The sequence below is a fragment of the Homo sapiens genome, chromosome 5 (genome assembly GCF_000001405.40).
Source record: "Homo sapiens chromosome 5, GRCh38.p14 Primary Assembly".
NCBI lineage: Eukaryota > Metazoa > Chordata > Mammalia > Primates > Hominidae > Homo > Homo sapiens.
In genome coordinates this window covers 7,346,373-7,373,107 of record NC_000005.10, presented here as the reverse complement: position 1 = coordinate 7,373,107, position 26,735 = coordinate 7,346,373, and the positions used below count along the sequence as shown (strand labels likewise).

Sequence of the window (26,735 nt, the reverse complement as noted above, 5' to 3'; positions counted from 1 at the left end):
GGTCGTAGCCGCTGTGAGTCTTAGCTTCTCTCTGCATCTGTGAGGTCATCTCCCTTTCTGTAGAGCATATGATCTTTACTGATGCACCTGCATCTGGCTCAGACTTAGTCACCCAGCCCTGAAATTATATCATATCACAGGTCATTCTCTGAGTCTCTTAATGTGAGGCCTTGAGAGAAAAATCAACATGCCTTCTGTTGGATGAAGACCAATCAGCAAGATGGTGGTGATTGTGGTACAGGTGGTGGTGGTGATGGTGGTGGTGGTGGTGGTAATGATGGTAGTGATAGTGGAGGTAGTGGTGATGGTGGTGGTGGTGGTGATGAAGTGGTGTTGGTGATGGTGGAGGTAGTGGTGGTGCTGATGGTGGTGGTGGTGATGGTGGAGGTGGTGGTGGTGGAGGTGGTGGTGGTGGTGGTGGAAGTAGTGGTGGTGATGGTGGAGGTGGTGGTGGTGGAAGTAGTGGTGGTGATGGTGGAGGTGGTAGGGGTGGTGGAGGTAGTGGTGGTGACGATGGAGGTCATGGTGGTGATGGTGGTGGTGGTGGTGGTGGTGGTGATGGTGGTGGTGGTGATGGTGGAGGTGGTGGTGGTGATGGTGGAGGTGGTGGTGGTGGTGGTGGTGGAGGTAGTGGTGGTGATGGTGGCAGTGGTGGTGATTGTGATGGTGGAGGTAGTGATGGTGATGGTGGAGGTGGTGGTGGTGATGAAGGTGGTGGTAGTGGTGGTGATGATGGTGGTGGTGATGAAGATCATGTTGGCAGTGTTGGTGGAGGTAGTGGTGATGGTGGAGGCAGTGGTGGTGATGGTAGAGGTAGTGTTGGTAATGAAGGTGGTGGTGGTGGTGATGGTGGTAGTGGTGGTGGTGATGATGGAGGTGGTGGTGGTGACAGTGGTGGTGGTGTTGGTTATGGTGGAGGTGGTAGTGGTGATGATGGAGGTAGTGGTGGTGATGGTGGTGCTGATGGTGATGGTGGAGGTGGTGGTGATGAAGGTGGTGGTAGGGTGGTGATGATGGTGGTGGTGGTGATGAAGATGGTGTTGGTGGAGGTAGTGGTGATGGTGGAGGTAGTGGTGGTAATTAAGGTGGTGGAGGTAGTGGTGACGGTGGAGGTAGTGGTGGTAATCAAGGTGGTGGTGGTGGTGGTGGTGGAGGTGGTGGTGGTAATGAAGTTGGTGCTTGTGGTGGTGGTATTGGTGATGGTGGTGGTGACGGTGGAGGTTGTGGTGGTGATGATGCTGGTGGTGGTGTTGGTGGAGGTAGTGGTGACGGTGGAGGTAGTGGTGGTAATGAAGGTGGTGGTGGTGGTGGTGGTGGAGGTGGTGGTGGTAATGAAGTTGGTGCTTGTGGTGGTGGTATTGGTGATGGTGGTGGTGACGGTGGAGGTTGTGGTGGTGATGGTGGTGGTAGTGGTGGTAATGAAGGTGCTGGTGGTGATGATGGAGGTGGTGGTGATAATGGTGATGGTGGTAGTGATGGTGGTGATGGTGGAGGTCGTTGGTTGTGGTATTGGTGGAGGTAGTGGTGGTAACAAAGGTGGTGGTGGTGGTGACGGTGGAGGTGGTGGTGGTGATGATGCTGGTGGTGGTGTTGGTGGAGGTAGTGGTGACGGTGGAGGTAGTGGTGGTAGTGAAGGTGGTGGTGGTGACGGTGGAGGTGATGGTGGTGATGATGGTGGTGGTGTTGGTGGAGGTAGTGGTGATGGTGGAGGCAGTGGTGGTAATGAAGGTGATGGTGGAGGTGGTGGTGATAATGATGGTGGTGATAGCGGTAGTGATGAAGTTGGTGATGGTGGTGATGATGGAGACAGTGGTGGTGGAAGTAGCGAAGGGCCCTATGGTAGAGAGAATTTTGGATTCAGGGTGGTGATGGGAGGGTTTATTAAGAAAACATCAGGAAACAGAGAGGGTATTTCTGGTATCTCTGAAATAGTAATAATAATTTCCTAGGTCTGTAACAATGCAAAAGTCAGAACTGGTTGAAATGTAAAATTCAGGTAAAGAAAGCACATTTTAATCAAATTCCAAATCATATCTGTTCATAACATTAGGCCAAATTCTCGTCTAGCCTTATCAGTCTTTATGCATTTTTGTTGTTGTTGCTGCTGTTGTTTTGTTTTTTTTAGGCAAAGTCTCACTCTGTCACCCAGGCTGGAGTGCAGTGGCATGATCATGGCTCACCACAGCCTCCATCTCCCGGGCTCAAGCAATCCTTCTACCTCAGCCTCTTAAGTAGTTGCTCCCACAGGTGTGCCACCACACCTGGCTAATTTTTTCTTTTTTTTAGAGAAGGGGTCTCACTATATTGCCCAGGCTGGTCTCAAACTTCCTGGGCTCAAATGATCCTCCCATCTCAGCCTCCCAAAGTGCTGGAATTACAGGTGTGAGCCACTGACCTTGGCCCATTATGCATGCTTTGAGTTAGATTCCCTAGAAGCAGGTCCACAAATTGCACCACAGTTACCCTTCATCAGGCTAGGTGGCCAGTCTTTGAGACACCATGGTGGTTGACCATTGGCTGCTGGATGCCCTATCTGCTAAGGGAGGAGGGGTATGTGGTCTCCAAGACAAGACAGTCCCTGTCCTGCAGAAGGCCATAAATAGAGAATAGGGCAGCTGTGACCCATCAGCTGCCAAACTCAGCAGCTTGGGGCTGGGTGCAGCTGCTAGCAGAGAGACCCCCACAGTGCTTACCACACACAGCACAGCACAGAGGCCCAAGCATGACTGGTACTGCACAAAGCAAATGCAAGGTCCATTGGATCATCTCAATGCCGCCTCCTCATTTGTCTATACACCCTTCCCTAATGATTTGCTTCTGGAGCTCATCACTCCGGGCCAGACTCTACCATGGCCTCAAAATCTCCTGTAACCTGGGGCTGCCTCCTTCTCCTGCCTCATTCCATGCCCCACTACGGCTGCCCACTCTCTCCAGCCATGCTGGCCTTCTCTTGTTTCTTCACTGGACCAAGTTCCTTCCTCTCCCAAAGCCTGTGCACAGGCCCTTCCTACTGGTCACAGAACCCTAGAAAGCTCTTCCAGGCTTTATCCAGACCAGTCACTCCTGCCTTTTATTCCTAGGCTCAGAGGGACCTCTCTTTTTCCCACTCCCACCCCCGTCCTTGGAGCTTCTATATCACACTTAAAAAATTACAGTTGTTTTGTGACCATCCCTTTAATGTCCCTCCAGGATCCTACCACAAAATTAGTGATTTTTAAACTCTCTGTTTGTGACTTACTGAGGAGGGACTCATGACATCAGTTTAGTGAATGGGGACAGATACTTTTAATAACATTAGAATACATTGTTAAGAGCATAGAAAATATGACAGTACACTGCACGTAGTAAAATACATATTGTTGGTGACACTTTAATTCCAGATATATGTATTTAATTGTGCATGTGTTTGTGTGTGTGTGTGTGTGTGTGTGTGTGTGTGTGCCTGTATACCGAATCATGATGTAAAAGCTATTCTAACTCTGGGTAAGAGATCAAATACATTTAAAAGCCACTCTACTAAATTGTAGGCTCCATCTTTGATGAGATATGTGGCTTTGGACATATTACTTGACTCTTTCTGTGCCACAGTCCCCTTTTTATAGAGTCGTTGCAAGGATCAAGTGAGTTGAAATCCGTAAGGTGCTTGGGAGAATGCCTGGCGCCTGGAAGCACTGTGTGAGTATTACACAGCATTACATTTATTTATGCGTTTTGTTTGTAACCCTGTCCTCCCTGCCTATCTTAGTGCCTGGCACACCCTAGCTCTCAACAGTTACTGACTGAACAAACAGCAAGGAGCATGTGGCATGAGCCGTGTTGTATGTACCTATGGGTGAGAACACAGCACATGTGGATTCAGTGCATCTTCTTAGGAAGTGGCTGAGGAGGTTTCAGGGTGATTTCGTGCTAGTGAGTCTGCCCCTCTTCCTCCTCCCCACCACACTTCCTCTTACGGAAAGTCAGCCTGAGCCAGTATGTATTTATCGATATGTCTGGCCACCTTTAAACATTACATAAATAAGTAACGGGAACCCAAGACAATGGGTGGGAATGTCTTCATTTATGAATGAAGTCAAGCAAAACCCAAGCATTCCTTCCATCGTTTTTCAGAAGTTGCTCCTTTGGGGCCAAACCATAGGCAGCTGCACGAGGAGTTTACTGTGCCTGATCTAGGCACAACTGAATTGTTCATTTTATTCTTAAATCTTCCTCCACCAAACCTAAGAGAGACCCAAGGGAGGCGGTATGAACTATTAACATTGTTGAGGACCAGATGATCTAATTCAGAAGGACCAATTATATTTCTATTCTTCCAAAGACAAAAGTAAAATTCTGAGTCCCTTTTCACTGGAAATAGGTTAATGGTTTATTTCCCGTTGTGACTGTGGCTGATCCTGGAATGGTCACTCGTAAATCACATCCAACTTTGCTCCCTGGCCACCTTCTAGGGAAGCAGACCCTGGAACATGCCAGTGACTGCTTTCCTATCTCATGAAGGAAGAATTGGTGGGCGTTACATGAAGGCAGGTTTAAAGTTAACTAAAGGATAATTGAGTTGGCCAGTGAAAACCAAACCCTAAGAAAAGAGCTGCGGCAGTGTGAATGTCTATCACTGAACGAGCCCACCCGAGGACCAGATGACCATTTCCGTCTGTTTCAGGGGTTTACACCGGGGATGTGTTAGTCCATTTTTGTGTTGCTATAAAGGAATACAGGAAACTGGGTAGCTTTATAAAGAAAAGAGGTTGATTTGGCTCATGGTTCTGAAGGTTGTACAAGCATGGCACTGGTATCTGCTGGGCTTCTGGTGAGGCCTCAGGAAGCTTTCAATCATGGTGGAAGGTGAAGAAGGAGCTGGCACATCACATGGCAAGAGAGAGAGAGGAGGAGGTATCGGGCTCTTTTGTGCGAACTAACAGAGCAAGAACTCACTCATTACTGCAAGGACAATACCAAGCCATCCATGAGGGATCTGTCCTCATGACCCAAACACCTCCCACAAGGCCCACCTCCTACATTAGGAACCACATTTCAACATGAGATTTGGAGGGGACAAACGTCCAAACTATATAAGGGGATTCTAAGGTCTCTCTCTTTCTCACCATTCTCAGTGCTGCAGTAATTCTGCTGACGTCATCCCCATACTTGCCATCCTCTTGCAGGGTTGTAGGTTCTAAGGCTGGCCTCCACGGGGTGGTTCCACCCTCTTCTCTTGCTGTGTCTTTAATGAGATGTATCAGGTATGCCATTCCCTATATCTATGTCTTAGGTCCAAAGCACTAGGCTTTCTTTACTCTGAATGTGAGAAGGTGCCTGTGCACCCTCGCCTTGGTGAGGGAAATGGCTGTGTTCTTTGACAAAGATCAGCCTCTCAAGGCACATGGACACCCAAGCTTATAACCATTTATATATCAGAGCCTGTTGTCGTCATTTTTGTGTAGGAGTAATTATTATATCTTAGATTTTTCTTTTTAAAGTTGAAGTTGGATTTGCACAAAATGTTAAGAGTGTTTTTACAGCTTTTCTGTTGTATGAAGAATATGACTTTGAACATATGAATCTGGATAAAGGATATAATTTTGTGTAGGATGTTGATTCAAAATGAAAAGGTAGAGTTGTCATTTTAAATAGGAGTGGAATTTACTTCGTAGAAACCCACGTACGTACTAGATGGTTTCGTTTTTCCAAGTTTTCTTTGCATTAAAAAAAGAAATGTTTATTTTAGAAAGAATTTCACAGTTACTTTATTGAATGCAGATAGCCTTCAGACAAATTCCATCACATCACTCCATAAGTGTTCATTGAATAAATGAATCCATAACAAGAGTACTTATGGCTAACGTTTTTACAGTTTTGGAGGATGGGAGAGATGGGAAAGATGAAATTGTCATTGGTATGAATACACAAATGTTTTCTAAAATATCCAAACTATTTTAGAATTCATGAATTAAATTAAATATCTAGTTTTTTTCTTGAAAAGAATTATCAGAGAAGAAATTGAAGGAAGAAAAATAGAATTCTTTGGGTACAAACATTTTAACACAAAGAAATACTCAGACCTGTCTGGTTTTATTTACTCAGAGTTATAAAAAATGTTACTTTGGATTAAATTAGTCCAATTATGTACATCTTCTACTGAATTAAGCACATATTCTAGAAGATGGATTATGTGTACATAAAATTTGTGCTAACTAAAGGAATGAAGGAATGAATGTATCTAAAACGAAAGGCATTGTTATTACTTTCTAACCTGATATAATACCACTTCTCAAAATGAAATGCATAGAAATAAGTTTCTGAGAAAATTGTATTTTAGAATTTGCTCAAGAATTGTCAAAATATGCTTAAAATCACATGAGCTGTGGTTGATGTAGGTTTTATTTATCAGTTTTTATTACATGAGGAATTCAAACTGAGGGATTTAAAAACATGTATTCATTTATTTAAACTTAATAAGCCAATCACTGTATACACAACTTTTTTTAATGAAAAGTATATTTTCCCAAACCAAAAAAAATAGTGATATGGGTGGTATTGATTCACATTTTTGCAAGTCTATTTGATGTTTGGTTTAATAAAAGATGCCCGGATTCTCATATCTGCTTCTACATTCAATCTGTTGTGTTATGTCATTTTGGTTGAAATATATGAAGAAAATCTGGCTTACTATGGATATACAGATGGAAAAGGGAGAAATATTTTAATGGCCTCCTCAGATAATTGTAAATAGTCTTTTTGGTTACCACATCAAATCTCAAAATGTAGTAATTCTTTAAAGGTTATTTGCAATGTAAAATCTGAAACCATAACAATGATCTTTCTATATTCTGTATACTCATGAGATTGAGAAACCAAACACTGATTTTGGATTATTAAGAAAAATTTGGAGTCTCCAGTTTTTCTCGTATAACACAGTGAGAACTGTTGTTTTAACCCCCCAACCCCCACCCCAATTTGCTGTAGTAGTTTGGAAGGTCAGTATAAAGGAGATAAATTTTTAAAATATGTCTTAACAATCCCAGAAGACTTCTTTTGGAGATAATTACAAACACCAAAATCAATACTAAAATTTACATTGAAAGGTAAAGGACTCAGAACAAGCAAGGCAACCTTGAAAATGAATAACCTTGGAGGATGCACAGTCCACAGTCCTCTTTTTTTTTTTTTTTTTTTTTTTTTTTTGAAGTGGAGTCTCCCTCTGTTGCCCAGACTGGAATGCTGTGGCACGACCTCGCCTCACTGCAAGCTCCGCCTCCCGGGTTCACGCCATTCTCCCACCTCGGCCTCCTGAGTAGCTGGGACTACAGGCGCCGGCCACTACGCCTGGCTAATTTTGTTTTTGTATTTTTAGTAGAGACGGGGTTTCACGGTGTTAGCCAGGATGGTCTCAATCTCCTGACCTTGTGATCCGCCCGCCTCAGCCTCCCAAAGTGCTGGGATCACAGGCGTGAGCCACCGCCCACAGTCCTCATTTTAAGAGTTACTGTACAGTTACCGTGTCATCAGGATAGTGCGATCTGGTTTCAGGATAGATGAATGAAACTGAATAGAGTCCAAAAGCAGATCTGCATATATGCAGAAAGATTAATTTTGACAATTGTGCCAATGTCATTCAATGAGGGAAAGGAAAGTCTTTTTTAGCAAATCATGCTAGAACAACTGGTTATTCGTATAAAAACAATTGAAATTTTATCTATCCCTAACATGAAAATGAACAGAAATGGATGGATTACAGATGAAACATAAAAGCTAAAATTTTGAAACTTTCTATAAAAAACCTGAGGGAAATCCTTTTTGTGATATATGTAGTCAAACATTTCTCAGAGAGATTGCAAAACACTTTATTAGAAAAAAAGAAAAGTAAACTGGATTCATGAAAATTAAAAATTTCTATTCTTCAAAAGTGTTAAAAAATAAAAAAAAAGTGCATCATAGACTAGGAGGAATGTTCATTACCTGTATATGACAAAGGACTTGAATTTGAATTACATAAAGAACTGCTACATGTCAAAAACAGTAAGACAGACAATCCAGTAAAAATTTTCAGAGGAGTTGGATAGATATGTGAGCCCCAAATATCTGAGACAGGTCTCAGTCAATTTAGGAAGGTTATTTTGCCAAAGTTAAGGACACACGCCGATGACACACCTGAAGACATGTGCCCAAGGTGGTCGAGGCACAGCTTGGTTTTGTAGACTTTAGGGAGATATGAGGCATCAATCATATATGTACATTGGTTCCGTCTGGAAAGGTGGGACAACTGGAAGCGAAGAGGGGACTTCCAGGTCATAGATAGATAAGAGACAAATGGCTGCATTCTTTTGAGTTTCTGATTAGCCTTTCCAAAGGAGGCAATCACATATGCATTTATCTCAGTGAACAGAGGGATGACTTTGAGTTCTGTCTGTCCTTTGTCCAGGAGGAAATTCCTTGTGAGGGAGGTATGTCACTTTTTTATCTTAGTAGCTACCTTTTTTTAGGAATAGAATGGGAGGCAGGTTTGCCCTAAGCAATTCCCTGCTTGATTTTTCCCTTTCCCTTAGTGATTTGGGAGTCCCAAAATTTATTTTCCTTTCACAGATATTCCAAAAAAGGAGATATAAACATGACCATAAAAGACATGAAAAGATGTTTAACCCCATTAGTCATCGTGGAAATGCAAATGAAAACCACCATACAGACACTAGAGTGGTTTAAATTTGAATGACTTCCAACACCAAATGCCAGACAGGACATAGAGCAACTGGATGTCTCATGCTCACAGGTAGGAATGCAAAATGGTGTAACTTCTGTAGAAAACTAATTGGTAGTTTCTTATAAAATTAAATGTGCACCTACCTTATTTATGATCCAGCAATTTAACTCTAAGGTATTTCTCTAGCAGAAATGAAACCATATGCCTACACAAACTACTTGTACACTAGTGTTTATTGCAGCTTTATTTATAATAGCAAGAATGTTAAACAATCCAAAAATCCATCAACAGGAGAATAAATAAACAAATTGTGATATATTCATACTATGGAATAATAGCAGTAGAAAGAAATGAACTAGTGGTGCACACAACATGGATGAATACCAGAAATACTATGCTGAGTGAAAGCAGGCAGACTTAGATATGATATCTAGACATTTCCTTTTTTATGAAGCTCCAGAACATGCAGAGCTAATCTATGGGAACATAGTTCAGCATGGTGGTCTTTCTAGGTATGCGAAAGAGAATATATGCCAATAAACATGAAAGACTTTCTAGGTTGAAGGCAGTGCTATATGTCTTTACTGGATGTTGTTTCCACAGGTACATACATTTTTAAAAAATATCACAGTATGCACTTAAGATCTGCACATTTTACTATATGTAATTATACCTCAATAAAAATTTTTTAAAAACCCTAAGTATCACAACTGTTATGAATATTTTCTTGGTTTATTAAATGAGGCATTCAATCAAATATGCATTTTGATTGCATTATGAATATGAAACATGCTGATTACCAATTCATATTCATTTGGAAACCTACAGGCAGAAGGGAAAACTACTGTGTGTGACAGGAAGATGGACTTACCCAACCTTCAGCATTCTCAATCTCTTGTCTATTAACATGGTAATTGCCTTTAATGACTTTGTTCTCCTCGGTGTAATCAGACAGGAAACTTTAGAGGGAAAATGCATAAATTATTCTAACCCCTGCCAGGGAAAGAATCCAGACTTTAATCAACTTCTGTGCATTTTATTCTTCATATTAAAAAAGCTTTCTTTACATTTGGACTCAATCAACAAGCTCTCTTGTCTAGAACAATCCTTGTTTTGTGCTCCCGTCAGTAGGACTATGTCCCCAATGTAGAAGACAAATGGCCTTCTTGTTCAAAAAGGGTCATCTATAGTACTGAAAGTTATGCAAACTCATTTGGTTCTCTCTGCCCTTTTCAAATAGCATCTCATAACAGTATCAACACTATTGATGGTGCTAATTTTATATAATTCTTTTCAGTGTTTGAAACATTATGCATTCAAAGCAAACATCTGGGAGGAAGATGGGAGAAGCCTTCTTGCCCCTGTTCTACAGAAGTAATTGAAGTTCATGACATTCAAGCTCATTCACCAGTAAATGAATTTGGGTCATGCTTTATGTCTGTTGTAAATACAGTGAAAATTTGCCTCTGTTCCTGAAGCATTTCTAAATTGAACTTCCCTCACTTTTTGAAAAACCTATACAACCCACACTCTCAGTATTTGAGACACCAAGGAGTTGCTGCATTTAAGTTCTCTATCTAACACAGTAATCCTGGCCAGGAATTGGATGGGAGACTTTCAGGTGGAATCCACCATGGAGCCAAGGAGGATAGAGAACAATGCATGATTTTTGACAGGTCTTGTTTGCAGTCTGGCCCACAAGCTGTGTCACAGTGAAGTAGGTGGTAAAACAAATGAACACCCTTCCTTTTCATTCTGAAACAGGCTGCCTCTTCTATTGATTTGCATTTCAGCACTTATTGGGTTAAGGAAACACTAAACATAAATATTCTATTTGATTCTACACCACATTATTCTAAATGTCGATTGTCGAAGAAACATCCTATACAGGGTATGTTTCCTGTCCAAGTATTTCCAGGGGAACTCAGTGTACACCTATGTTACAGGGAAAAAAATAACTAAGATAGCACACTGTGTGGTGTAAAGAACTGTCACCAGTGTAGAAAACAAGTTTCAGCCTTGGAAAGTTTGGGGTCAGGAATGAGTCCAGGTATAAAGCCTAACACAAGGACAGCCTTAGATCAATAACCTAGACAAATAATGTCTTTAAACATCAGCTTCCTCATCTGCAAAATGAAGATAATGATATAGTCCTATGTATAACCCAGGGGGGGACCATCTACTGAATTGGAGAATAAACAGAAAGCATTTTTTGAAGCTTAGAGTTACGTGCAGCAAAAATTGTGGTTTCCATGGCTTTTTGCTGTTGTTTCTCAGCCTTTCTGAAGTGCTGATGGGTCTGGACTTCTTCTGGACTCATCTCTTGGGTTATATTCATCCTTTTAAATACCACAGGCTTCTTCTAATAAACATTTGGTTAGAGGGCCATTGCTGACTTTTTGGGGGTTTTTTAGGTGCCTTTATTTTACACCATCTTTTTGAATGGTCAATTTGTATACATGAATGCCCACCCTGACAGCAATGGTGTGTATATAAGTAGAAAAGAGAAAATAGGAACTGTTTCTTTCCCACAGAGGAGTCTTAGTTGCGAGTAAAATGAGAAGAGGAGATGTTTTGGCCCGTAGAACTGGAGCATCTAAGTCTGCCAAGACATGACTCAAGGGCACAGATGACATCTTCGGGATCATCTCAGTCTCGTTTTTTTCTCTTCTCAGCTCTGCTTTCTTTGGTGTTGGCTTCATTTTCAGAAGGACTTAGGTTCTCCCCTAGAGGTCTCCGGATGGCTACTCCTCCCCAGCTCCAGGCTTACAATCTAGCTTAGCATAATAGCTATCCAACTACAGAGAGAATTCCTCTTCCCCAGTGGCACAAGCAAATGTGTGGCAATTAAGTCTCACTGACTGGAATGGTTGGCTGGCTTGGGCCCCTCACCATACCCATAGCAAACACAGTGACCAGAAACAAGTCAGGGCACCACTGTCTCAGGTCTGGGTCACATGGGACTTACGATCAAAAGACAATCCCATCTAGACATTTCCCAACATTTTCCTTTCTTCAGTGATTCAGTGAAAAGTGTATGTGTTTCTTTGATGAAGGTAGTCGGGCAGCAATTCATTTTTCAGACCCTCGCATGTTCTGGTTTTGGTTGATGTATTAGCATCCTATGGCTGCTGTAACAAATTACCACAAACTCAGGAACTTAAAACAACACACCTTGCTTAGTTCACAGCTCTGGAGGTTGGAAGTCTGACGCTAACGTCAAGGTGTCAGACGGGCTTGCCCTCCTGGAGGCTCTAGGGGAGAATCGATTCCCTTTTCCAGCTTCTGGAACAGGAATCCCCCTGCATTCCTTGGCTCAGAGGCTGCTCCTCCACCTTCAAAGCCAGCGCTCTTACTGTGACAATCTTGCCTCCCTAACATCTTCCAACTTCTGTATCTTTCTTAGACTTTTGACCATGCATGCTTTACTCCCTTTCTCAATTCCAAACCAAGTCAGGTCTTTAATATCACCAGCATTTTCTATCAAATATACTCGAAAATAGAGAATTTATTAAATTTGTTTAGATTGTATTCTTTTAAGTTTTGGATGTATAATAATTTGATAAAATAGAGGCTGACCAACAAAATTGTGTGTTATAAAGTAATGTTATGCATTTTTTTCCCTCAAGTCCAGCTACTAACTCAAGTTTATAGAAAGAATTTAGTTTAATTATCAATTCCCAGGAAGAAATAAGAGTAGAAATGGAAGATGTATGAGCCACTCTACCAATGAATGTGGATTTGTTAATGCCTTCATTTTTAATAGGATTCTTTTGTTGCCCAAAAGAACATGTCTGTGGATTCTTGGGATTTCTTAGAAACAGATTTTGCCCATGACATTAAAATGGTAGAATGAAGTTTTATAATGTTTATTTTGTTTGCCAATAATTAATGTGTCATGTGGTGCTTCTTGCATGCTTTTTATTTTCTTTTTGTTCTTAGAAGTTTTCTAGGAATCCCTTTTAGGAAACTCTATAGATTTAATGTTTAGCCTTGAGTTATTACTTAGTACAATGTCTTTTCAAATAGTACAGATAAAATGACATGTTTAAATTATTTTTAAAAATCTACCTACCCTTATTGAGTTAAAAGATACACATTGTGCTTCCTCTTTGTTTTACAAAGGCCATCAAGTGCCTTAGAAAATGCCAGTACTGAAAGTTCTATGCACTCCAAGGTTGCAGAGAAAGGCAGAGAACCTGCAATATGCCTAGAGGATGTCCTGCATCCTCTACAGCCAGCGTTCCCTGCTTCCGTAGGAAAGCAGAATAGCACGTTGCTTACATCTTGCATGATATGGCAATTACCATGAGGCAGAAGAGCAGAACTGTCCCAAAGGTAACTTAATCAATGGATACTTTAGATGAGCTTCCAATCTTCCTATTGTAAAAAGCTTATTGAAAGGACAATACGAAAATTGCAAGACTTCCTATGTTGGTGTCTCTATACTTGTCAGAGTGTTTCAGTGGTTTCATTTTATTCAATTTATGTTCATTAACTAAAGCACACAGCATTTTTGTCACCAATATGGAAAATCTTTGGAGAGAAGTAAATGCATTAAACCCTTGCTACTTCTTTTATTATATATTCTTCTAAAACTGCTGAGCTAGTAGGATCTATACGCACAAAGCAGTGTGTTAAAAATGGCCTCAGTTAAAAGCAGGTAGAAGGCAACAGCAAGAATTATGTAGCATTCTACAGACAAATTGTGTGATTTGAAGAGGAAGTGTGAAAATTTGCTCTTTTTTTTTTTTTTTTTTTAGAGAAAATACCCAACAGATGCTTTGAGATTTTTAAAACCTTTTCAGTTGCACAGGAAGAGAGTTGCTGCAGAAAGGTTGAATTTATAGAGCAACATCCTAATGTGGACAACTTTGTGGTCAGACCCAGATTAGTGGTGCAGGGTACCAAGGTTTGTACTAAGGATGTAAAATGCTGATTTTATAGGCAGATGCATTGCAGGATGTAATAAAATGTGGGTATATACTTATTCTGATGAATGGTTCCAGAAGCAATACTTAAACTGGGTGTCTGAAGTATTGTTTAATCAAGGAAATATTGTAATAGAACAACAGTTGTACCCAGGGTCTTTAATTCTTCAAATATGGTGGCTATCCTACCTCCACCTGTGGTCCATTCCCGCTTGTACTGATGGCGGCTGATGTGTGACCTTGGCCCCCCCCGAGTCATCCAGCAGCAGCTAACAATTCTATCCCATTTCCCATTCTTTCCTCAGATACCCGAGTATGTCCTGTCAAAGAGCTGCCTTCTCTAGGGCAAAGAATTTAGGTCCTGAGCTCTCTCTGGGCTTCAGCATAGATGGCATGAAAGTGGGTAACTTCTTACTCTTGAGTATAATTCCTACATAAAGTAATGTGCTTGTATTTACAGCTGATATTTCCTCATAGTGCTGGAAAATTTGGTAAACTTTACAAGGATAGGCTGTATGCTATGCTAACAACATTTCAGTGTACAGTCATCCCCTGGTATCACAGGGATTGGCCCCAGGTCCCCTGCGGATATTAAAATCTGTAAATGCTCAAGTTCCTTATATAAAATGGCATAGTATTTTCACATAACCTACACACATCCTCCTGTATACTTTAAATAATTCTTAAATTATGTGTAATACTTAATACAGTATTAAAGTATTAATACTTAATAATTTCTCCTCCCTTCCTTCCATCCTTCCTTCCTTCTTCATTTCTTCTTTCTTTCTTTCTTTCCTTCTTTCTCTTTCCTTTTTTCTTTCTTTCTCTTTATTTTTTTCTCTTTCTTTCTTCTTTCTCTCTCTCTGTCTTCCTTTTTTTATCTTTCTTTCTTCTCTTTTCCTTTTCTTTCTCCATTTCTCCCTTATTTTCTTCTCTAGTTTTCCAGGAAGTAAGATCAACTATACATACCTTTAATCACAAATTAGAAACTGTGGAGTGATAATTATATAGTTGACTTCTTTTGATGGAGAACAAATATACTTCCCCAGAGTTCTGACTATCCTTCTCACACTGTTCCCGGGCAATTGAAATTGAGAAATGGGTCTTTATCAGTGACTCTTGACTCATGCTCAAGAGCTTTAGAATTTTAAATCTGTTGTAACCCCATCTTTATCTGAAGGTTTGGCTGGAAAGTGCACACACAGAGTGTATATAGAGAGTGTATAGAGTGTGTATTACCTACTGCCTTTATTCTGCTGCTTTTCTACTAAAGAAGTTTCCTGTTTGCTTTTGGTTCAAAACCAAAAGCCCCCATCTTAACATCCAAGTTATCATTAAACACACCTGACAACAATCCAATGTTCTCTTTTACTCCTCATCCCCTCCCCTCCACATTTAGTTCTAAATAAACAGCTTTTATTCTATTAGGCATCTTTCAAATCCCCAAGCTCCAGTCTTGTCCTATCTCCTACTTCTAAAATCCATTTTGGATGGCTCTAAACTCTTCTCCCCCTGTCAAATCAAATCCTGCAGGTCTTTTTAAGTCCAAGATGAACATTCTGGACATAGAAGTAAACTATTAAATTAACTCTGTTTTGGAAGCCTCTTTCCCTTGCTCTGAGGTCTTGCAGCATGGAAGTATCTCCTCTACACCACCTTTGCTTTTCTTCATTTTCATATTGGCCCCTTAATTGGTAATTAGCATTTTTGTTTGTGTATGTCATCTCTTCAGAAAAGGATAGTATCATTGACTTATTTGTAATCTCTTATAGCACATTGAATGATTCTCTGGTACACCAAGAGTTCATAACAGTCTTACTGAATTGACGTTTATTGTACAATGAAAAAATATTGTCTGGTGAATGACATTTTATTAAACTATTATGATTCCCCCAATGTAAGATTTTTCTACTGAATTTTTAGTGCTAATCTAAAAATGAGCAAAATAATGAAGATGATTTCTAAGAAGTGCAGTTTTGAGGAAACCATCTAGTATTAATACAGATATATTCCTCTCCCCTGTGCTACTTATACTCAGTGGAGAGAATCAAAGTCCAGAAGGTGATGCGAAATCCTTATCCAAATATGTTTACTCAGTAGCGTTGATAAAAAAGAAATTAATGCATTTAATAGAAATGTTTATGACTGAGACAAATGACTTTTCATTTTAAATCTCTGGTATCTTAATCATTATTTTTGTCCAAACATCTACATATTGATGGATAGTTTAAGTCAAAGAGATTTCACTGGATATAAAATTTTAAAACATCAAAATAACACTTAATTTATATTTTTAGATGTTAGCACAAGCAAATTCCCAGCTGCTTGAGAAAATCTTCAAGTAACTAATTTAAAAATAGTATCATAGAACCATGCTTTTTTTGCACTATTTGTGCACAAAGGCCAAAATTTTAATTTCCTATAGATCACAGACTGATACTTTTGTAAAATACAAAACTATGTTTATGGATGCCATAGCAATGTTAAATTACTATAAAACCTTCCATGTGGTTGCTGTCACTTTCTGCACTTATGTAATGGAGCAGCAACAAATGATTCATGGGAGCCAACAATCTGTAGACCACATTTTTAATAGCAGAGCCATGGATTTCACTATAACAAAAATATTACCTGAAGGAAAGAAAAACCAGATAAGTTTTTGTAAAATAAGGAAACCAAAAACTTTGAAGGAATTCTATCCAGACAAGCAGATTCTAAAGTTTATAGGCCGAGGCAAAAGACCCAGAATAGCCTACACTATATTGAAGAATAAGAACAGAGTTGGGAGGCCAGGTGCGGTGGCTCATGCCTATTATCCCAGCACTTTGGGAGGCTGAGGCAGGCAGATCATGAGGTTAGGAGATCGAGACCATCCTGACTAACATGGTGAAACCCCATCTGTACTAAAAATACAAAAATTTAGCCAGGTATGGTGATGCATACCTGTAGTCCCAGCTACTCAGGAGGCTAAGGCAGGAGAATCGCTTGAACCTGGGAGTCAGAGGCTGCAGTGAGCCAAGATCACACCACTCTACCCTGGCCTGGGTGACCGAGTGAGACTCTGTCTCAAAAAAGAGAAAAAAAAAAAAGAACAGAGTTGGAAGACTGACACTGCCTGACTTGAAGCTACAGTAACCAAGACATTGTGGTATTGGCAAAAGAACAGACAAATAGATCAATAGAATAGAACAGAGATCCCAGAAATAGACCCACATAAATTTGGTCAGCTGATCTGTGACAAAGAAGTAAAGGCAATAGAATGGAGAAAAGGTACTCTCTGTCAACCAATGGTGCTGGAACAACTGGTTATTCACATGCAAAAAATAAATCTAAACATAGACTTTCTGGTCTTCACAAAAATTAACTCAAAATGGATCACAGATCTAGATGTGAAATGTGAAACTATAAAAATCCTGGAAAATAACATAATGGAAAATCCAGATAACCAATGCTTCAGTAATCACTTTCTATACACAACACCAAAGGCATGGTCCATTAAAGACAGAATTGATAAATCGGACTTTATTAAAATTAAAATAGTCTGCTTTGTGAATGACACTATCAAGAGAATGACAAGACAAGCTAGAGACTGAGAAAAAATATTTGCAAAGACATATCTGATAAAAGACTATTAACCAAAATATATAAAGAACTCTTAAAACTTAACTATAAAAAACAAAAAGTTTGATTTTAAAAAGGGCCAATGATCTTAACAGACACCTAATGTAAGAAGATATACAGGTGGCAAATAAGCTTATTAAAAGATGTTCCACATCCCATGTCATCAGGGAAATGCAAGTTAATACAACAGTGAGATACCACTACATACCTATTAGCATGGCCAAAATCCAGAACACTGACAACACCAAATGCTGACAAGGATGTGAGCAGCAGAAACTCTCAGACACTGCTGGAGAAATGCAAAATGGTACAGCCCATTCGGAAGACAGTTTGGGTGTTTCCTACACAGCTAAATATACTCTTACCATATGATCTAGCAATCATGCTCCTTGGTATTTACCCAAAGGAGCTGTGTTGGTAGAAGAGCTGAGGCAGGACTTGCTAGTCTTGACATAATATAAAAAGTCCTGGAACATGTCCTGGGTCCAGGGTCTAAAACCCCTCGTGGCCTATGGAACACCAAGCTCTGTGCTTAAGGGTGGAAGGCTGCCCTGCCGCACTACAATTTAAGCCCAGAGCATTAAACCCCTTGTGGCTTGGATGGAATCCAGGGCTCAGGGCATAAAACCCCTCGTGGCCTCTGGAATGTGTTCAGACTTGCTGGCTCCTTACTTCTTGCTCTCCCAGGATCATAAATCAATTGTATCTTGAGTTAGAAGGACATGTTCCCCATTATCTCGAGTAGCCAAACATGTTCCATAGGCTTCAAAGAAAATGCTAAACTGACACAACTATAGATCAAATGCTTGATGCACCACTTCCTTTTGACCCCCATGTCCTCACTGCCTGCTTCTTTGTTTGATCACCAATAAATAGTGTGGTCTCCCAGAGCTTGGGAGCTTTGCAGCCTCCACACTAGCATTGGCCCCCTGGACCCACTTTCACTCTTAACTTGTCTTGTCTCATTCCTTTGACTCCAATGGACTTCGTAGCCCCCATGGCCTGGTGTTGTGTCTGATCATCCCAACAAGCTGAAACCTTCTGCTCACACAAAAACATGTACATAGATGTTTACAACAGCCTTATTCATAATCGACAAACTTGGAAGCAACCAAAATGTCCTGCAGTAGGTGACTGGGTAAATAAACTGTGGTACATCCAGACAATGAAATATTATTCAACACAAAAAAAGAAATGAGCTATCAAGCTAAGCTATAAAAGACATGGAGGAAACTTAAATGCATGTTACTTAGTGAAAAAATCCAATGTGAAAAGGCTGGTTACTGTACAATTCCAAATATGTGACATTCTGAAAAATGCAACTATGGAGACCGTGAAAAGGTTAGTGGTTGCCAGGGGTTGGGGGAAGTGGGGGATGACTAGACAGAGCACAAAGCATTTTTAGGCCAAACACTGATACTTCTGTAAAATACAAAACCATGCTCATGAACACCACAGCAATGTGAAATTACACTGTATGACACTCCAATGGTGAATACAGGTCATTATAAATTTTTCCAAATCTGGAGGATGTACAACACCAAAATTGAACTGTAATGTAAACTATAATCTTTTAATGATGTGTTGATATAGGTTCACCAGTTTTAACAAGCATACACCCTGGTGGGGGATTTTTATGATGAGGCAGGCTGTGCAGGTGTGGGGGCAGAGTGGGTACATGGGAAATCTCTGTACCTTTTGATCAGTTTTGCAGGAAACCGAAAGATGTGCTAAGAAACAAGGTCTATTAAGAATTACATCCAGTAAAAAAAAAATAACGTTTTAGTAAAGATGTATTTGCAGATAAAGTTGGGATAGTTGTAACTCTGTAAGAGACATAGTTATTCGGCGTTAATCAAGGCAAAATGTTCTAGGCAGCAGGTTCCATTCAGTCTGAACAAAGTTTACCAATGCAAAAGGAAATGGACCAAGAAGTCTACAGCAGACTGCCAACCTTTCTTATGAGAAGCTGTTTTGCAGGAGAACAGATAAATAAACAAGATGAAGCTGATGAGTCAACAAGAGGTAGAAATCAGGTGTACAAGTGGATTAATTCTAAATATCCTGTAATGGTTACCAGATAGTTTAGGCTCTGATTCTCTACAGCCTTTTATTTTCTCCTCCACTACAGAGTATACTCTGTGTGGCAGTGACCAAGAGGCATGAGATGAGATGACAATTACGACATGGTCAGCTGATTTCAGGGCAGGTCTCCCAAGGTACCCAGCCTTGGAGGGAGGCCAGAGCCCAGGGTCTTATCCTCAGCTCTGTAGGTGCAGAAATTGATTTCTGTGCATGTAGTTAGTGTTGAAGGGCATCCATTCACAGCAACAACTACACAACATTCACAAGGGTCTGACGTGTAGACAATAAAGCCAAGTTATTAACTGAAAATGGGAACTAAACTGGCCAATAAATGACCATGTTTGTTAGCGGGAGTTGCGGGTAGACACATTTTCTCCATGACGTAGGTGCTAAAGGAAAATCAATAGAAATGGTAAAATTATTTCATGTGCATAATATGAGAAAATTAGGAAATAAAATGTTATTCGAATGACCAGTGTGATCAACCTAAAAATTTAATGCATTAATGCATTAATATTTCCCTTTCTCTCTCTGTCTCTCTGTCTCTTTCTCTCTCTCCTCATAATATAAGGTATATGTATATACATAATTTTTGTTCATCAGGTTGCTTGCTCCATTGGAAATACCAGGGATATGATAAGCTTCAAATCCTCACTTTTTGGAATCCCACACAAATAATTCAATTTTAGCATTTATTAATGACATTTTGTTGGTTATATTTGTCTTTCATATTTAGTCCAAAATGTACTAAGAATTCTACTTTGACTTGAAAAATATTCCCTCATTTAGGAGAACTGTGCTGAGAACTAACCTCTACATGGATTTCGCTAATTCAGCTCTCAAGGGACAATTTTTTTTGTAGTCTTAACAAGTATTGGCATCATGAACCAATGACTTTTTTCTTAAGTAAATGTGTGTGTGTGTGTCTATGCCCTTATATCTTATAATCACACATATTCATATAATTTTCAGCACAAAATATGAATCTGATTTACCACTGCTCATAATCAATTTGTTATCAGGTTTTAAATTTCAATTTGATTTTGAAAAAAGAAAGGGAAATTCCATTCCTTGGACATAAAATATGATTAATAAGTGCTCAGCTTAAGTTTCACTTAAGTTTAAAAATGTACAACTTGAATTAAGAAAACTCTTATTCCCCAACTACTAGCTATTATTATTATGACAGTAAAAAATAAGGAAATAGTGACAGAGCAATTATAAAATTAATGTTAGGTACAAGTAGAGTGAATTACAACTTAAATTTTGTTACTGTAAGTATAATGTAGGAAATTTTTTTTTTTTCCAAGACAGCATCTCACTTTGTTTCCCAGGCTGGAGTGCAGTGGCATGATCACAGACCACTGCAGCCTTGACCTCCCAGGCACAAGCTGTCCTTCTGCCTCAGCCTCTCAAGTAACTGCGACTACTGGAGCACACCACCACACCCAGCTAATTTTTTATTTTTATTTTTAGAGATGGCATCTGACTATGTTGTCCAGGCTGATCTTGAACTCCTGGGCTTAAGCAATCTGCCTGCCTCAGCCTCCCAAAGTTATGGGATTGCAGGAGTGAGCTACTGCACCTGGCCTGGAAAATTTATTTCTAAATAAGAAAATCATAAACCTTTAATTGGCAACTCATGATGTGATGAGGTTTTACTCTAATTAACTTACACGAGAGTTTTATATTTTTAGTTATATAGATATACATATATATGTGTGTGTGATGTATGTGCGTATGTGTGTGTGTATATCATACACACCTGAATATATATGTGTGTATTTATATGTATGTATATATGTAAAGGGTTAGGTGTGTGTGTCTTTGAAGTGGCATTCTTGTCTGAGGTAAATACCTGGGGTTCAGCGTCTTGTGCCGAGATTAGTGACACAGACACACACATGGAGTGAGTTAAGGAGCAGAAGGTTTAATAGGCAGAAGAAAGAAGAGAGGAGAGCAGCTCTCTGTCTATCTTGTTAGGAGGGGCGTCTGAAAAGGAAAAAGTGGTGGACCACAGCAGAATTTATAGGCAGGCTTGAGGGGGCGGTGTCTGATTTACGTAGGGCCCCCATATTGGTTCCACCAGGTGTGACATTGACATGGTGCTCAGGGAAGGCTTGTCGCCCCAGCCTAATCTTATTATGCAAATGGGCTTTCTGCTTGGCCAGTGCCATCTTCCCTGCTCCTTGCTGTACATGTGGCTGGCAAAAAGAGAAAATGGAGCCACCATTTTGAACATGCCTAGCCGCAGGTAGTATATTCCTATTGGCACAACTGCCAACATTCTTCTGTGCAAGCTTCCAGCTTGCTTGTCTATGTCTGCAGCTCAATTTTACAGGCTGCTCTTTGTTAGAAAAGAAAATGACTTGGGGGCTGCTTTTTATTGAAAGGAAAACCTTACTGAGGACTCTGTACCCTCATTATCTGCCTAAGTACTTTCTTCTTAGCTCCTGTATCATCTTCATTTCCAAACACACGTAGAAGTTAGCATACATATGAGAAAATAAAAGTGCAGAGCATGCTTATTCAAGGGACACAAACAAAAAAACTGAATGGGCTTTTCATGTCTCAGAACAATTCTTAAAGCTCTGCTTTCATAGACTGAAGAAACAGAATACAGACCCCAGAAATAGACACATACAGACATGCTCAACTGGCTTTTGACAAAGGTGTGAAAACAATTGAGAGAAGGAGGGAGGAGGGAGAGCCTTTTCAGAAAACGGTGCTTGAGAAACTGGGCATCCATAGGCAACAACAGGAACTGCAATGAAACCTCATATCTCATACAAGAATTGAGTCAAGATAAGTCATGAATTTATATGTAGACCTTAAAATGATAAAACTTTTAGGGAAAAAAACCAAAACAAACAAACAAACAAACAAAACATAGGAGACTTTGCGATCTAGGCAAGGAGTACTTAGACTTGTTGCCAAAGTATAATCCATGAAAAAAATGGTAAATGAGGCCTCGTGAAATGTCAAAACTTTTTGTCTGAAAGGGACCATGTGAAGAGGATGAAAAGACAGGTGGCAGACTGGGAGAAAATCTTTGCAAACCACACGTCCAACAAAAGACTAATATTTAGCATATAAAAAGAACTTTCCAACTCAACAGTAAAAAACTGAACAATCCAAATGGAAAATGGGCAAGATACCTACAGACCTTCTGCCAAGAATAAATACAGATGGCAAATAACCACATGAAAAGATGCTCATCATCATTAGCCATCAGGGAAATGCAAATTAAAACCATCATCCGTTATCACTACACACCTACTAGGATGGTTAAAATAAAAAATAGCGACAACACTAAATGCTGGCAAGGATGCAGAGAAACCAGATCACTCACACATTGTTGGTGGGGATGTGAAATGGTACAATCTGGAAAGCAATTTGACAGTTTCTTATAAAACCCAGCATGAAAATACAAAATAACCCAGTAATGGCACCCATAGGCATTTGTCCCAGAGAAATGAAGACTTATGTTCACACCAAAAACTATACACAAATGTTCATCACAGCTTTATTTATAATAGCCCCAAACTGGAAGCAGCACAGATGTTCTTCAAAGGTAAATGTTAAACAAACCATGATATATCCAGATCACAGACCATGAAGCAGTAAAAGGAACAAACTATTGATACACCTGACAACTTGAATGAATCTCTAAGGAAACACATTGAGTGAAAAAAGCGAATCCCCAAAAGTTTACATACTGTATGATTCCACTTGCATAATGTTTTTGAAATAACAAAATGTTAGAAACGCAGAGGAATAGATTAGTAGTTGCCAGGACTTAGGCCCTGGGAGGTGAGGAGTGGGGCCAACGGAAGGTGGGTGTGGTTTTAAAAGAAGGAAAAGCCATACAGAATTGTTCTGTATGTAGATATCTAGATTGTAGCGGTGCATGCAGGAAGCAGGACCTACATGCATAATAAAATTATGCAGAACGAAACACACACACACACGCCATACAAATGAATACAAGCAAACCAGGAAATCGGGGTCAGGTTGGAGGATTGTATTAATGTCTATACCCTGGTTGTGATAATTGCACTATAATTTTCCAAGGTGTTACCATTGAGGGAAAATGAGTAAAGGGTAGAGAGGATCTCTGTATATTATTACTTACAAATGCATGTGAATGTTCAATTATCTCAATAAATAGTTCAACTAAAAAAACACCATTCTTTCATTGATTTCTTCACTAGATGCCATTTTGGGGCTGCCTTTCAATGGAATAGAAACGGAATGGTTGCCGTTTGTCAAGGCAGAGCTCTGATCATTTTCATCAGGGTGTGGAGCACACATGGACGGTAGCCTGCCTGTTTAGCAAAGCACAGCCTTGACAGCGTTATTTTCTCACAGCCAACCGTCCATGAAGAATTCCCAAATGGTTCTACCATTTTCTTTTGCTGCTAGATTCTTAAAATAGATACCAGGAAGAACCTACTCTGCTGTCTTGCCCGAAGACTGGCCTAAATCTCTGAATATTTTACCACACCCATACTTTTGCTTGTATTATCTGGTGAAGCAGTCTCATTATCAATACTGAGTTTGTTTTAAAAGTTATATGGAAGTTTGTGTGTATTTTGTGTATTTTCCAGAGCCCCCAGTGAGTGCCTGAGCCCATTAATTTCAGTCAGAATCAGAATGCAATTTTACACTTTTAAAACTATAACAAGTTCAAGGGCATTCCCAATACTTTTGTGATAATAATAATTTTAAAAATTATTGACTTTGATCCTATAAATATAGGCTCTGAATCTTATAGAAAAAAAATTTCATGCAGCAATAAATACAACTGCAGCATAAGCCTGCTGTGAATAATGCAATTACTATATTTAGTTACACACATTTCTTCCAGTCCAGAACTCCCAACACTCCCTTCTTCTCTCCTGTCTCATGAAGAACAATACAAAATTATATTCCCCTGAGTGATTTCTCTTTCTTCCCATTTTGAGGCAGCAACATGGCTGCCCACAGAGGTTCCCCCAGGGCTTAAGGACATCAATTAATTCAGTAGCTAGGTAGAGAGTTTCCTTTTAGAGGGACTGTTACATAACGTTGAATGAAAGGAGAATGAAAGGAGATGCAGACAGCTCCTGACTGCTGCTCTCAAGCTCAAGTGGGAGAATTAAGACAGCCTCATTCACTGCTCAGCACTTCCTTTGCTCTGATGATCATCAGAAATCATCTCAGTCTTCCTTGCGCTGCTCCTTCTTTTCCTGAAGTTCCGATGCTCCAGCTTCAATCCTCAAACTTGGAAAAAAAAAAAAAAAAGGAAATATCTGTAGTCCTTGCAACTGCTTTTTGAAGTTGTGCTCGGGCCCCTGTTGTTTCTCTACTGAAGCTTGCAGTGTGCTTTCATCGGAGCTGGCCCCTGCCCCAGCCAGCACCAGCCCTCAAAGACTTTTTTATTCTAACATAGCCCGAGTATGTTAGGAAACTAGAGCTGCATAACCACTGCCTCTTAACTCTGCTAGCCCTGGCATCTTATCTGTATGATTTCTGCAGTGATGGGAGGGAAGCTAGTAGCTCTCTAGTTCATTAAACGGAACGTCTGTCTAGGAAGATACCAGGAAGATATTTTATAAATGAATGTCGATATTTTTCCTTCCAATGTAATTAGATATTCTGTTTCAATCTAAGGCTCTTCTTACAGGCAAAAGGAATAATGAAGCTTTCAACCATGATACAACTGAGAAGATTTCAGCATCCACATAGAAAGAAAAGCAGGGCAATGCACCCTCCAAGCTTAGGAAGGAGGCAGCCAGAGAACTCCTGGCTCCTTTGTGGGGTGAGAGAGCTGCCCTAAGGAACTCCAGGCCCAAAAGAGAGAGCAAGTGGGATTAGCTGCTTATTGTGTAAACTTAGAAAGGGAAAACAGAATTAAAGTAGGGGTAAACGGGAAAAATAGATGAGTAAATTTTCCTATTGCTTTAGAAAAAAAAAATCTAAATTCATATGTAATTTTGTATCTACTTGTTTCCCATCTCTACAGGCTTCACTGAGAAGATGAACCTGCCGATGAGGTGTGCAGAGAACTTTGGCTGCACAAGTTAAGAGGAAGAGGCTGAGTCTCAGCTCAGAGAGTGCTGGTAATGCCAAGCACAGCAGAGCTGCCAGAGGGATCTACTTGGAATCTGGGGAGGCCCTGGGGAGACTAACTGGTACAATTTAAAGAGATGCAAAGCAAATGATATGCGGGGCAATCATGTGAAAAGCCTGCTGCCTTACAGGATGGACTCCAGCTGCTCAGTGGGACGGGCTGTTGGGGGCTGGGTTTTGGTAGGGCAAGAGGGCCCCGGATGGAGTGATGGACACTCTAACTCACTACTCCGCCGTCCAATACAGTCCAGATTGTTCAACAACTCTGAGAATAAATGGTCTTTTTTAAAAAATTGGTGTCAAACCTACTGTACTGGGTTGATGTGAAATTGAAATTGAAATAAGTTGTATATAAAATGTCTGGCACATAGTAGTGATCAATAAATATTAATCCCTTCCCCAGACCAATGCTGTATTTCCATTTCTGGGGCACATGCCACATTGTCTAAATCAATGTTTTATTCACTCATACATCAAAGATAATGGAAACACTTATATTTTAGAAAGAACTTACTGTACATTTTATATTCTTTTTGGTAAATTGAATAAACACTCTTCAGAGATATATAAACCTAGATTTCCTGATAGACTTTGCATTAGAACATTGGTGGAAGAGAATGCACCAGAAAATCTCCTCTTTAGGTGCCCACTTCTGAGCTTTAGTCCTCCAACCCCAGAGGCCTAGTTACTCAGCCCAGAGTTCAGTGGGGCCGTGGGAGAAGTGGATGAGCTAGTTCCCTAAAGCACAGGCATGGGGGAGGCATGTCTCTGTCATACTCAATCATCCTAGCACGGGTGTGAGGGACATGTGAAAACGGGAATATAGATGACGCGAAGGTGCAACTGGGCTCCGTTTGGAGTCTTACCCAGTTCATAACTCAATTATCTCTAAGGAATATGCAGAAAAATGTGTTTATTTATTTATTTTATTTTTATTTATTTATTTTTTGAGACAGAGTCTTGCTCTGTCACCCAGGCTGAAGAGCAGTGGCACGACATCAGCTCACTGCAACCTCCACCTCTTGGGTTCAAGCAATTCTCCTGCCTCAGCCTCCAGAGTAGCTAGGATTACAGGCGCCCGCAACAACACCTGGCTAATTTTTTTGTATTTTTAGTAGAGACGGGGTTTCATTATGTTGGCCAGGCTGGTCTTAAACTCCTGACCTCAAGTGATCTGCCTGCCTTGGCCTCCCAAAGTACTGGGATTACAGGCGTGAGCCACTGTGCCTGACCAGAAAAAAAAAAAAGTGTTTAGAAGAATAGATATTTGAAAAAACAAAACTAGTAAT

At 40.1% G+C, this 26,735-nt stretch overlaps 2 long non-coding RNA genes across 8 annotated transcripts; both read left to right on the top strand.

The window, feature by feature from the left end:
- Positions 1 to 13: 13 nt before the first annotated feature.
- Positions 14 to 10,166, top strand: LOC105374645 (uncharacterized). 7 transcript variants are annotated; one of them, NR_188256.1, is made up of 7 exons: positions 14 to 235; positions 1,950 to 1,996; positions 3,603 to 3,675; positions 5,112 to 5,240; positions 8,581 to 8,764; positions 9,524 to 9,605; positions 9,993 to 10,166. It is a non-coding gene; the product is annotated as an uncharacterized LOC105374645 (long non-coding RNA). The 7 variants fall into 7 exon arrangements; NR_188260.1 differs by having other exon boundaries at positions 3,589 to 3,675; NR_188258.1 differs by having other exon boundaries at positions 14 to 241; positions 3,589 to 3,675; positions 5,163 to 5,240.
- Positions 10,167 to 25,130: 14,964 nt separating this feature from the next.
- On the top strand, positions 25,131 to 26,122 carry LINC02123 (long intergenic non-protein coding RNA 2123). Its single transcript, NR_134277.1, has 2 exons — positions 25,131 to 25,232; positions 25,340 to 26,122. It is a non-coding gene; the product is annotated as a long intergenic non-protein coding RNA 2123 (long non-coding RNA).
- Positions 26,123 to 26,735: the final 613 nt, after the last annotated feature.